At 48.3% G+C, this 13,262-nt stretch overlaps 1 protein-coding gene across 1 annotated transcript, besides 2 other annotated features; it reads right to left on the bottom strand.

Moving 5' to 3' along the window:
* Positions 933-982: an enhancer, noted in NCBI's record as "active region_4845". NCBI's record gives its function as "activates an Ori minimal core promoter by ATAC-STARR-seq in GM12878 lymphoblastoid cells {active_cell/tissue: GM12878}" and the evidence as "EXISTENCE:reporter gene assay evidence [ECO:0000049][PMID:35858748]".
* Positions 3,906-9,036, bottom strand: POLR2G (RNA polymerase II subunit G). Its single transcript, NM_002696.3, has 8 exons — positions 8,956-9,036; positions 8,712-8,821; positions 7,590-7,749; positions 5,384-5,434; positions 5,211-5,276; positions 4,892-4,963; positions 4,340-4,373; positions 3,906-4,122 (listed from the first exon to the last, which is right to left on the bottom strand). Exons 1-8 carry the CDS (start codon positions 8,965-8,967, stop codon positions 4,109-4,111), a joined length of 519 nt encoding a protein of 172 aa, NP_002687.1. The 5' UTR covers positions 8,968-9,036; the 3' UTR covers positions 3,906-4,108.
* Positions 8,828-9,027: an enhancer, noted in NCBI's record as "active region_4844". NCBI's record gives its function as "activates an Ori minimal core promoter by ATAC-STARR-seq in GM12878 lymphoblastoid cells {active_cell/tissue: GM12878}" and the evidence as "EXISTENCE:reporter gene assay evidence [ECO:0000049][PMID:35858748]".

Below are 13,262 nucleotides of genomic sequence, written 5' to 3'. Positions count from 1 at the left end.
TGCGCACTTCACAGGGTTGTTGTAAATTAATGTCTGTGAGAGTCCCTGGCAGAGTTGGAGGTTAAACTTCTTTCCCGGCCGGGCGCGGTGGCTCACGCCTGTAATCCCAACATTTTGAGAGGCCGAGGCGGGGGATCACCTGGGGTCGGGAGTTCAAGACCAGCCTGATCAACATGGAGAAAAATCCATCTCAACTAAAAATACAAAATTAGCCGGGTGTGTTGGCACATGCCTGTAATCGCAGCTACTCGGGAGGCTGAGGCAGGAGAATTGCTTGAACCCGGGAGGCGGAGGTTGTGGTGAGCCGAGATCGCGCCACTGCACTCCAACCTGGCCAACAAGAGTGAATCTCCGTCTCAAAAAAAAAAGAGAGAAACTTTCTTTCCCTCACATGTCACAAGGCATACAGTGAATTCCTTTAAGTTCACCCAAGATGGGGTAGTTTGCACTGAGTGAACTGTGGGAACATTCTGCAAGGGAGCATGAATGTACACATTTTTTCTCTTTCCCCCTCTCAGGGTTAGATGCTGCTGCCGCTGGAAAAGAAAATCCCCTGGGACCCGAGCTGGCAAAGCCAGATGGATGCGACTGTGGTTGCCATGGCAACCCCACCTAAGGAGAATGTGACCCTGCTGAGTCTCTTCCACTCATATTCAGAACCATATTAGAAGTGGTTTCAAGTGTCTGCCCACCTGTGCGTTAAGGGAAAGAGAGAGGGCGCTCTCCTCTAAGGTCTGACTGAGCCTGAAGTCAGCTTAGCCAGACCTGGGCAGCTGGCTGACCTCCTTGCTTAGGTTTACTGTTCTGGACAGCCATCAGCAACCTTGGAGACACTAGAAGATGGGAGGGAGACCGGGACTGCCCGGGACCTATTAGATGTAGTGAACCTGTATCCAACCTGTCTGGAGCTCATTTGCTCCCAATCTGAGTGGAGGCAGGAACCAGGGAAGGCAGTAGTGAGACCTCCATGGCCACAGATGGGAGAAAGGTGGCTCGCTCCACACACCCAATGCCTGGCAAGAACTATGATGGCTTTGGTGTCAGACTTTTTTTCTTTTTTCCTTTTTTTGAGACGGAGTAACACCCTGTTGCCCAGGCTGGAGTGCAGTGGCGCAATCTTGGCTCACTACAACCTCCACCTCCCAGGTTCAAATGATTCTCCTGCCTCAACCTCCCAAGTAGCTGGGATTACAGGCACTTGCCACTACCACCAGCTAATTTTTGTGTTTTTAGTAGAGACAGGGTTTTCACCATGTTGGCTAGGCTGGTCTCCAACTCCTGACCTTGTGATCCACCCGCCTCTGCCTCCCAAAGTGCTGGGATTACAGGCATGAGCCACTGTGCCTGGTCAAAGTCAGACTGTTTTTATTCATTTATTTTTATTTTTATTTATTTTTTGAAACTGAGTCTCGCTCTGTCGCCCAGGTTGGAGTGCAGTGGCGTGATAGCTCACTGCAACCTCTGCCCTCCCAGTTTCAAGTGATTCTCCTGCCTTAGCCTCTGGAGGAGCTGGGATTACAGGTGTCCGACACCATGCCTGGCTAAGTGCTGTAAGTTTTGTATTTTTAGTAAAGATGGGGTTTCGCCATGTTGGCCAGGCTGGTCTTCAACTCCTGACCTTGTGATCCGCCCGCCTCAGCTTCCCGAAGTGCTGGGATTACAGGCATGAGCCACCATGCCCGGCCAATTTTTTTTTTTTTTTTTTTTTGAGACAGAGTCCTTGCTCTGTTGCTAAGGCTAGAATGCAGTGGAGCAATCTCAGCTTACTGCAACCTCCACCTCCCCGGTTCAAGCGATTCTTGTGCCTCAGCCTCCTGAGTAGCTGGGATTACAGGCACGCACCACCATACCTGGCTAATTGTCGTATTTTTAGTAGAGACTGGGTTTTGCCATGTTGGCTAGGCTGTTCTCAAACTCCTGACCTCAAGTGATCCGCGCACCTCGGCCTCTCAAAGTGCTGGGATTACAGGCATGAGCCACCACAACAAGCCCAGACTGTTTTTAAAAAATCACAGCTCACCAGCTGTGTGACCTTAGGCATATTAGTTCACCTGTCTGACCTGTCTCATCAACTATAAAGCGGGATAACGAAATCTACTCCATGGAACTGTTGTGAAGATTCAGAAAAGTGTGTAAAGGATTTAGCATGTTGCCAAGCACATGGTACTCTATTAGCCTGTGACCGCTTTAGGAGGCTGTAACTTTCAGAATCCCTTAGTACCAACCTTAAAAGCTCAGAAGAGGCGGGGCGCGGCGGCTCATGCCTGTAATCCCAGCACTTTGGGAGGCCGAGGCGGGCAGATCACCTGAGGTCAGGAGTTTGAGACCAGCCTGATCAACATGGAGATACCTTGTCTCTACTAAAAATACAAAATTAGTTGGGCGTGGTGGCACATGCCTGTAATCCCAGCTACTTGGGAGGCTGAGGCAGGAGAATCCCTTGAACCCAGGAGGCGGAGGTTTCGGTGAGCCAAGATCGTACCATTGCACTCCAGCCTGGGCGACAGAGTGAGACTCTGTCTCAAAAAAAAAAAAAAAAAAAAGCTCAGAAGAGTTCTGGAAACCATCTCCAGGGCATCCCCACTTGTTCCCTTCCCCACTAGAGTGCCAGGCTTTTTTTTTTTCCTTTTTTTTTTTAATTAGTGCCAGCCTTTTCGATGCCACACCCTACATCCTCACCAGCACCCACATGCTCAGGATCCATGAGCTGCTTCTCTGTCCATCAATTTCTTCCTTTCAGGCTTGGTGTTATTCCCCTATTTGAGAACTTAGGAAGAACTCCAGGACTCCAGTGATCCTCCCACCTCAGCCTCCTAAGTACCTGAGACTACAGATACACACCACTGCACTGGCTTTGGGATGCATTATATAATAATTATGATAATTAAAAGTTGAGTGCCCATCATGGACCAGGCTCTATGCCAGCCACTTGAACATATGATGTCTGATACAGCAGCCTCCAAAGAGGGTTTTCTGCCCATTTTATAATGAGGAAACAGAAGGTCATCCAGCTAAGACTCTTTTCTTTTCTTTTTTTTTTTTTTTGAGATGGAGTCTCACTCTGAAGCCCAAGCTGGAGTGCAGTGGAGGGATCTCAGCTCACTGCAACCTCCCCCTCCCGGGTTCAAGCAATTTACCTGCCTCATCTCTTATCCTCTTGAGTCCAGCTAAGACTTAAACCAGCTCTGTATCAATCCAAATACCATGCTTTCTTGTTTTCTGCCACAGAGCTCTGTTTCCCAGGGAAGTCAAAGAAAGTTAAAGAAAAAATAATAATAATAATTGAAATGAGATTTCATAGATTAGTAGATAGGAAATGGACAAGCTGGGAAAGGGCATTCCAAGGTAGACAAAATAGTATTGCAGAGGTATAGTGCCAGGGAAAATTGGCATGTTTCTTTAATCCTGTAGGCATTTCATACATTTTTTGTCACCCTAACTAGATTGTGAGCCCTTTTACATCTTCAGTTCAGTTTAGTATAGTGATATACTATTGTTTATATACCCAACTTAGGAAAGGCTGTGTTGAGATCCTACAGTCTGTGTCATTACTAGCCTCTTATTCATCTCTCCCTGTCTGCTGTCTCCTCTCCCTTCTTTCCCAGCTATGCTCTTGGTTACTTTTAAGGGCAGGAGAAGAGCAAACACTCTGGAACTAGATCAGGACCCAGAATGCCACTAATGATGGTATCATTTGCTGGAAGCCAAAGACCCAACATCAGAGCCTTGACTTCAGTGAGGTCACCTTTAAACCTGGACAAATGGGTTAGTCAGTTCCCCTGGGTGGCTGAGGCTAGTAGAGGCATCAGTCTAAGAAAAAGAGGGGCTAGTAAGCAGCCAACTCCACAGCCTCTTTAAAGAGTTATTGTTCCTGCTAAAAAAAAAAAAAGAAGATAACACTTCCATGAGAACCAAGGACTTTTTATACTTAGAACACATACTGAAAAATGAGGAGGCAGTAGTTAAGCTACAAGAAGCACCAGATGCCTTCTGGGATGAGTTGCCTTCCTTGCCTCCACAACAGCAGCCAGACTGGACCTCTGGACAACATGATAAGTGTGACAATCACACTTCCTAGAGTAGGACCAAGGGTAGGAGGCCACCAGGCTCAGCTTACAAGCCCTGCGAAACCAGAAAAAGCATATCAGTTAGAACCGGAATTTAGGGTAGCCACAACCATGTACTCCTCATCCCAAGGCAAATGTCCTGGATCTTTCAAGCAGACAGCATGAAAGTTTCTTCTGTCTCTCTGATTTGGGCATTGAATCCTATATTACTCCCCACCCCCACACATCCCTTCTCCAGGCAATAACCCCAGCACCTATGATCAGGCACTCACCCAAGTAATCGTCCATCAGGGAGCCAATAGCAAACTGCAAGAAAGATGGTAAAAAGAAAGTGAAGCCAAGATGAGCACAGAACCAACCTCCACCCTGCAGCCCCAGGCCTTCTGCCCATCCATCCCTTCTTCCTGGCAGAAGAGCACAGAACCCCCTGAAACTGTGGGTGGTAAGAAATCGACAGCTCTCGGCCAGGCGCGGTGGCTCACACCTGTAATCCCAGCACTTTGGGAGGCCGAGTCGGGTGGATCATTAGGTCAGGAGATCGAGACCATCCTGGCTAACATGGTGAAACCCTGTCTGTACTAAAAATATAAAAAATTAGCCAGGTGTGGTGGCGGGCGCCTGTAGTCCCAGCTACTCGGGAGGCTGAGGCAGGAGAATGGCATGAACCCGGGAGGCAGAGCTTGCAGTGAGCCGAGATCGCGCCACTGCACTCCAGCCTGGGTGACAGAGCAAGACTCCGTCTCAAAAAAAAAAAAAAAAGAAAAAAGAAATCGACAGTTCTCAGCTCAACCTGGTATAGGTAGAGAGGTGGGGAAAAGACTCACAATGTCATTCTTGTCCACACGGGTCCCCACAATCTTTAAGCGGATCTCATCGTCCTGCTGAATCACAATATCCTGAGGAGAGGAGGGAACAGTGTACAGATGCTCCTCAGTTTATGAGAAGTTACATCACAATCACTTCACTGTAAGCCCGGGGGCATATTGAATGCACATCACTTTCACACCATCGTAAAGTCATAAAATCATGAATCAAGCCATGGTAATTCGGGGACCATCTGTACTCAGCCATCCCCAGGCCAATATTCTCCCTCAGGATGGCTGATTCTCTCCTTGTCTCCCTGACTTCTTTCTGTCCACTCACCTCATCCATTGTCTTGTAACATGGTGGGTTGGAGTTAGGATCAAACTCCATCTCTGAAGGGATGGACTGAAAGGAAAGTGAGATCTAGGTTAGCACTTTAAATGGATGCTTCAATAGATGGTGATGAATGAGTATCTGTCTTCCTCAGCCCCACCCAGTGTGCCCAGACTTACATGTCGAGAGATGAAGCAAGACATGGGCCCAATTTCTGTGAAGAGTCCAACCTAGAAAAAAAATGAGTGATCTTACGGCCGTGCACGGTGGCTCACGCCTGTAATCCCAGCACTTTGGGAGGCCGAGGCCGGTGGATCACGAGGTCAGGAGTTTCAGACCAGCCTGACCAACATGGTGAAACCCCGTCATTACTAAAAATACAAAAATTAGCCGGGCATGGTGGCGTGCACCTCTAATCCCAGCTACTCAGGAGACTGAGGCAGGAGAATCGTTTGAACCCAGGAGGTGGAGGTTGCAGTGAGCCGAGATTGCACCATTGCACTTCAGCCTGGCAACAGAGCAAGACTCTGTCTCAAAAAAAAAAAACAAAAGAGTGATCTTGCCTTTTCTTTGTCCCCTCAAGTGTTGTGTTTTTGTTTTTTGCTTTTTAAATTTTGAGACAGGGTCTCACTCTGTTGCCCAGGTTGGAAAGTAGTGGTGCGATCACAGCTCACTGTAAATTTGAACTCCTGGGCTCAAGCGATCCTCCCACCTCAGCCTCCCAAGTTGCTGAAACCACAGGTGCACACCACCATGCTAGGCTAATTTTTAAAAACTTTTTGTAGAGACAGAGTCTTGATATGTTGCCCAGGCTGTCTCAAACTCCTAGGCTCAAGCAATCTTCCCACTTCTGCCCCCCAAAGCACTGGGATTATAGGTGTGAGCCAGCGCACCCAGCCCTTTTCTCTTTTTTTTTAAGCTTTCATTTGTATTTATTTACATATTTACTTTGAGACAGAATCTCACTCTGTTCTCCACTCTGGAGTGCAGTGATGCAATCTCAGCTCACTGCAACCTCCACCTCCCAGGTTCAAGTGATTCTCATGCCTCAGCCTCCCGAGTAGCAGGGACTACACGCACATGCCACAATGCCTGGCTAATTTTTGTATTTTTAGTAGAGATGGGGTTTCACCATATTGGCCAGGCTGGTCTTGAACTCCCACCCTCAGGTGATCTGCCCACCTCAGCCTCCCAAAGTGCTGGGATTACAGATGTGAGTCACCGCGCCCAGCCTAAGCTTTCATTTTAAAGTATTAAAGAGCTTAGGCCTGGGACGTGTTAGTCCAAGATTTGAACACCTGTTGGCCACATGATCTTGGCCAGTACACTTAATTTCTTCCAAGCTTCAGCTTCTGTAAAAAGCACCCACTGGCCGGGCACGGTGGCTCACGCCTATAATCCCAGCACTTTGGGTGGCTGAGCCAGGCAGATCACCTGAGGTCGGGAGTTCGAGACCAGCCTGACCAACATGGAGAAACCCCATCTCTACTAAAAATACAAAAATTAGCTGGGCATGGTGGCGCATGCCTATAGTCCCAGCTAGTTGGGAGGCTGAGGCAGGGGAATCGCTTGAACCCAGAGGCGGAGGTTGCAGCGAGCCGAGATTGCGCCACTGCACTCCAGCCTGGCAACAGAGCTAGACTCCGTCTCAAAAAAAAAAAAAAACCCACCTTTTAGAGTCATTGTGAGTCTCTGCACATCACCTAGCCCATAGTAACTACTCAATCAACACAGGCTTTTATTGTTATGACTATTAATACTGACTCTCTTGCCCTCTGAGTTAGGCAGGGCAAGATTACCATATAATTTGAAAGTGCAGGCCGGGCGCGGTGGCTCAAGCCTGCAATCCCAGCACTTTGGGAGGCCGAGGCGGGTGGATCACGAGGTCAGGAGATCGAGACCATCCTGGCTAACACAGTGAAACCCCGTCTGTACTAAAAATACAAAAAATTAGCCGGGCGTGGTGGTGGGCACCTGTAGACCCAGCTACTTGGGAGGCTGAGGCAGGAGAATGGTGTGAACCCGGGAGGCGGAGCTTGCAGTGAGTGGAGATCTCGCCACTGCACACCAGCCTGGGTGACAAAGCGAGACTCCGTCTCAAAAAAAAAAAAAAATAGCCGGCCATGGTGGCACGTGCCTTTAGTCCCAACTACTTGGGAGGCCGAGGCAGGAGAATCACTTGAACCTAGGAGGCAGAGGTGGCAGTGGCCAAGATCGCACCACTGCACTCCAGCCTGGGCAACAGAGCAAAACTCTCTCAAAAAAAAAAAAAAAAAAAAAAAGTGAAGTGACTTAGCCAAAGGCACAGAGTTATGAAGTGGAGCCAGAACCCAACCCAGATCTTCCGAGAGACTACCCCACTGCCTCCCCTATGTATGGTCTCACCTTGTTGACCTGAGTGACAACAGCATCCACGACCTCCCCTTTAAATGGCCGGAAAACAATGGCCTTGTACTTAACTGGATAAAGGACAAAGCCTCGGCCTGGCTGGATCACACCAGCACCAATATTGTCAATGGTGGTGACAGCAATTACAAAGCCATACCTGCAAGGAGGATGAGAAACAGGAAGACACTGTGTGTCCAAGAGCCTCTAAAGACATCTGCAATAAAAGTCGCTGAGCTCTTGGGGGTAGGGTCGGGGAGAGCAAAAGGACAAGTAGATAGCACCTCTGCTCCCAGAGAGCTTAATGACCAAAAGAAGACAGAACAGAGATCAGTATGTGTAAGACCAAATGCTGTTCTGGTAATTTCACAATAAATGTCCAAGAAGGCTGGAGTCCTTGAGGCAACAGATCTCAATCTTCGGGATGCCTGAGAATCATCTTCTTAAAATGCAGATTCTCAGGTCTGCCCCAGACAGTCTTGATTCTGTAGGGAATAAGGAGGCTCAGGAATCTGCATGTTCCTGCAGGTTTTTCTGATGCTGGAGGCCCAAGTACTCCACTGCCCTGAGCTGGGTCCCAGCTCATTAATATCAGAGAGGCCCCTCTGTGCAAAGCCCAGAGATGGTCAAATCCCAGGCTACTTCCTTCCTCCCCCAAACTCTCGATCTGCTTTTTCTGGTCATTCATTCAGAAGATATATAGAGGCCCATGGTGTGTGGTCCCTGGGCACAGGGGATAAGAGAAAACCAGCAGAATGACAGAGGGAGAGCAGACACAGGAACAATGATTACACTGTGAGCTCCACAGGGGCTGTCCTCATTCTATCTTGTTCCCATTCTACCTTGTTCTGAGCCCAACACGGGTCCTGGCACACACCAAGGGTTTTTAAAATGTTTGAGGAGTCAATGAATGACCCATCTCAGCTGAGAGAAGGAAGTCTTATTGTCCAGCATTGCAGAGGGCGCCCTGGGAACCCAAAGCAGGAAGCAACTGGCTGCCTGAGAGAGGAGAGGGGTCCCCAGAGTGGGTGGCAGGACGAGTAGGAGTTGGGGAGGGGTTGCAGGTATAGCGCCCCGTGTGCGCATCGAACGATCTGGCGGTGCGGTGAGCTCGACACTCACTTCCCTGTGCAGGTCCCCTCCACCTCGGTGAAGAGCTTCTGCTTCACCGTGTTGAGCAAGTTGGGGCCGAAGTAGCGCGGGTGCAGCAGGATTTCGTGCTCTAGGGAGATCTGCGGAGAAAAGTGGGATGGCGACCAGGCCAGGCGCTGGCAGGTTATTGGACGACAAGGGGAGTCTCGCGCCGGCGCCTGGCCTTGCTCTTCCTTTCCACCCAGCCCTTGCCGCCACCCTGAGCCCTGCTCACATGGTAGAACATCTTCCCAGACCAGGTAGGCAGGCAGAGTCCACACCTCCGACAGTCCCTGGGAATCCACCGGAAACACTTAGACGCCGCAACCCCAGTTCCGCGCTTGCTGCGACTAGGAGGGCGGAACACCACCTCCTCCGCGAGGGCGGAACTCCACCAGCTCCGCGGGTCTGATTGGGCCTCGCCGTCGTGGGCGAGAACCACTAAGCCCCGCCCCTCACCCCCGCCCCCCAGCCATCAAACGACAACTTTTTTTTTTGAGGCGGAGTCTCCCTCTGTTGCCCAGGCTGGAGTGCAGTGGCGCGATCTCGGCTCACTGCAACCTCCGCCTCCCGGGTTCAAGCGATTCTCCTGCCTCATCCTCCCGAGTAGCTGGGATTAAAGGCATGTGCCACCACACCTGACTAATTTTGTATTTTTAGTAGAGATGGGGTTTCTCCATGTTGGTCAGGCTGGTCTCAAACTCCCAACCTCAGGTGATCCACCCACCTCGGCCTCCCAAAGTGTTGGGATTACAGGAGTGAGCCACCGCGCCCGGTCGGCAACTATCTGAATTGCTTGAACCTGGGAGGCGGCCCGAGATCTTGCCACTGAACTCCAGCCTGGGCAACAAGAGCGAAACTCCATCTCAACAGATAGATAGATAGATAGATAGATAGATAGATAGATAGATAGATAGATAGATAATAGATAGATAGATAGATAGATAGATAGATTGATAAATGCTACCACTTACTGCTTTCTTCCTAGATGCCTGGGCAACAAGAGCGAAACTCCATCTCAATAAATAAAATAAATAAATAAATAAATGCTATCACTTACTACTTTCTTCCTAGATGCCAGACACTGTGCTAAGCGCTTGATATAATTCTCTCCCTTAATTCTCATAATAATCTACAGAAATTGGTGTAGAAATAAAAAAAAAATGTTTACGAGCCTTAGCCAAAAGGCCAAGAAGCTACAGAAAATAATGAAATTTAGGCCGGGCGCTGTGGTTTACGCCTGTAATACCAGCACTTTGAGAGGCCGAGGCGGGCAGATCATGAGGTCAGGAGATTGAGACCATCCTGGCTAACATGGCGAAACCCCGTCTCTACTAAAAATACAAAAAATTGGCCGGGCGTGGTGGCAGGCGTCTGTAGTCCCAGCTACTCAGGAGGCTGAGGCAGGAGAATCGCTTGAACCCGGGAGGCGGAGGGTGCAGTGAGTTGAGATCGCGCCACTGCACTCCAGCCTGGCGACAAAGCAAGACGGAGTCTCAAAAAAAAAAAAAAATTTAAGAGCTATTGGAAGCCCAAAAAACACTTTAAGCCTCGAGAGAGATATGACTGCGAGTCACATATAGTTTACAACTTCTGTTCTCAGATTATAGATTAACTCTTTTTTTTTTTTTTTTTTTTTTTGAGACGGAGTCTTGCTGTGTCGCCCAGGCTGAAGTGTAGGAAATCCATGACTATTTCATCCTCTGTTAAAAAATGTTACATGCGCCGGGCACTGGTGGCTCATGCCTGTAATCCCGGCTACTCGGCTACTGGGGAGGCTGGGGCAGGACAATTGCTTGAACCCGGGAAGCTGAGATTGCAAAGAGCCGAGATCGCTCCACTGCACTTCAGCCTGGGATGCAGAGCAAGACTCCCTCTCTCTTTTTTTTTTTTTAATAGAGACGGGGTTTCTCCATGTTGGTCAGGCTGGTCTCGAACTCCCGACCTCAGGTGATCCGCCCACCTCGGCCTCCCAAAGTGCTGGGATTACAGGCGTGAGCCACCGCGCCCGGCTGACTCCCTCTCAAAAAAAAAAAAAAAAAAAAAAAAAAAAAAAAAAAAAGTTACATGCAAATCACGAGATCAGAAGTTCAAGACCAGCCTGGCCAAAATAGTGAAAACCCATCTCTACTAAAAATACAAAAAATTAGCCGTGTGTGGTGGCAGGTGCCTGTAATCCCAGCTACTCCAGAGGCTGAGGCAGAAGAATGTCTTGAACCCGGGAGGCGGAGGTTGCAGTTAGGCAAGATCTTGACACTGCACTCCAGCCCAGGCAACAGTGCGAAACTCCAAATAAAAAAAAATTGGAAAAAAAAAGTTACATGTATACTTCCCAAAAAGAAACATTGTCTATAGCCAACCAAATTGCTATAACTATGTACCAATCTTCTGTGAAAAATGTAATCCTGCTAAAAAGTCATGTGTGCTTGCCTATATAAATGAAATCTTAACTTTCTTACTTCACAACACTGACTCCATTCTTCTGGAGTTGGTGGTTCCAGGTGTTCCATTCTCATACTTCGCACTTGAAAAAACTCTAAATTAGGTTCTGACCCGTCGGATTATTTTAGGTTGACACTGATACTATTATTATTCCTACCTTATACATAAGCCAGAAAAAGATTAAGGGGAGGTATTTGGGTATGAATAGCTGACCTGCTCCAAAGCTTGTGTTCCTTTTTTTTTTCTTTTTTCTTTCTTTCTTTTTTTTTTTGAGTTGGAGTCTCACTCTGTCGCCTAGGCTGGAACTTAGTGGTGCAATCTCGGCTCGCTGCAACCTCCGCCTCCCAGATTCAAGTGATTCTCCTGCCTCAGCCTCCCAAGTAGCTGGGATTACAGGCGCCCACCACCACGCCCAGCTAATTTTTTTTTTTTTTGTATTTTTAGTAGAGACCAGGTTTCACCATGTTGGCCAGGCTGGTCTCGAACTTCTGACCTTAGGTAATCCATCTGCCTCAGCCTCCCAAAATGCTGGGATTACAGGCCTGAGCCACTGCGCCCGGCCCCACCTTTTTTTTTTCTTGAGAAAGGGTCTCATTCTGTCACCCAGGCTGCCAGGCTGGAGTGCTCATTGCATTCCCCAGCTACAGGTATGGGTCACCATGCGCGGGTAATTTTTTATTTTTTGCAGAGATGTGGGTCTTACTCTGTTGACCAGGCTAGTCTTGAACTTCTGGCCTCAAGTGATCCTCTTGCTTTTGTCTCCCAAAGTGTTGGGATAACAAGTGTGAGCCCTCACACCTGGGAAAGTCGCATTCTTCACTACTGTAAACTCTACTGCCTGAGACTGAAACTTTGGATAAAAAAGACACCAAAGCAATGACAAGGATTGTTGTGTCTGCTCCTCAAAGTGTGTGCACGTAGAGCCTGAAAGCTCAGAACAGCAATTCTGAAGTTGTGGTCCCCAAAAGAACCTTTCAGGGGATTGGTGAAGTGCTCTTCTAGTTACATGTCTGTGTGAGACCAAATTTTCTTCATGTATTTCAATCAAAACAATATATCCTAATAGCTAATAGAAGCAGATGTGAAAATCGAGCTGTCTCCTATCGAAACAGTGTGATATTGTGAAATATACGTTTCTTTGACCCTATTTTCTGCCATACAACTCCTAAATCTCTAAAGTGATTTTTTTGGTATGCTAATGTTAACTGATGGCTGGCAGGCCCTAGGTAGCTTCCGGATGGGGGCTGGTCACCATAAAGAGCAGGGCATGATTGGAAGGTTGGGGTTTTCAGCCCACCCCCAACTTCTGGGGAGTGGAGGGGGTGCTGAACTGTTGAGTTGATCACCAATGGCCAATCGTTTCAGCAGTCATGCTTGCATAATGAAGCATCCACAAAAATCCAAAAGGACTGGGTTCAGAGATTCCACATAGCTGAACACCTGGAGGTTCCTGGAAGGTGGCACACCGGAAGAGGGCTCGGAAGCTCCACATCCCTTCCCCCATACCTCACCCTAGGCACCTCTTCATCTGCATCCTTTCAAATAGCCTCTATAATAAACCAGTAAAGGTAAGTAGGTGTTTCCCTGATTTCTATGAGCCACCCTAGCAAGTTAACCAAGCCCAAGTAGAGTTGTGGGGGCCTAGATTTACAGCTGGTCAGTCAGAGGCATAGGTAAAACAGCCTGGGGCTTTTGACTAGCATCAGAAGTCAGGGGCCATGTCTGGTAAACAATAATTTGATTTAAAAAAAAAAAAAAAGGAAGGGAGGGAGGGAGGGAGGCAGGGGAAAGAGAGAGACAAGAGAGAGAAAGAAGAAAAGAAAAAGGGGAAAAGAGAGAGAGAAAAGAAAGAGAGAGACAGAGAGAGACAAATAAAGAGACAAAGAAAGAAATAGAAAGAAAGGAAAGAAAGGAAGGAAGGAAGGAAGGAAGGAAGGAAGGAAGGAAGGAAGGAGAAAGGAAAAGAAAAGGAAGGAAAAGAAAAGAAATAAAAGAAAAAAGGAGAGAAAAGAAACTAGTACCGGGGGGCCGGTGGGGAGGGCGGTCTTGAGATCTGCACCCTAAACATTTGAGATCTGAGGTTATCTCCAGGTAGACAGT

Source organism: Homo sapiens, chromosome 11 (genome assembly GCF_000001405.40).
Source record: "Homo sapiens chromosome 11, GRCh38.p14 Primary Assembly".
Taxonomy (NCBI): domain Eukaryota; kingdom Metazoa; phylum Chordata; class Mammalia; order Primates; family Hominidae; genus Homo; species Homo sapiens.
The sequence above is the reverse complement of the archived record's forward strand: the minus strand, read 5'-3'. Positions and strand labels throughout refer to the sequence as shown.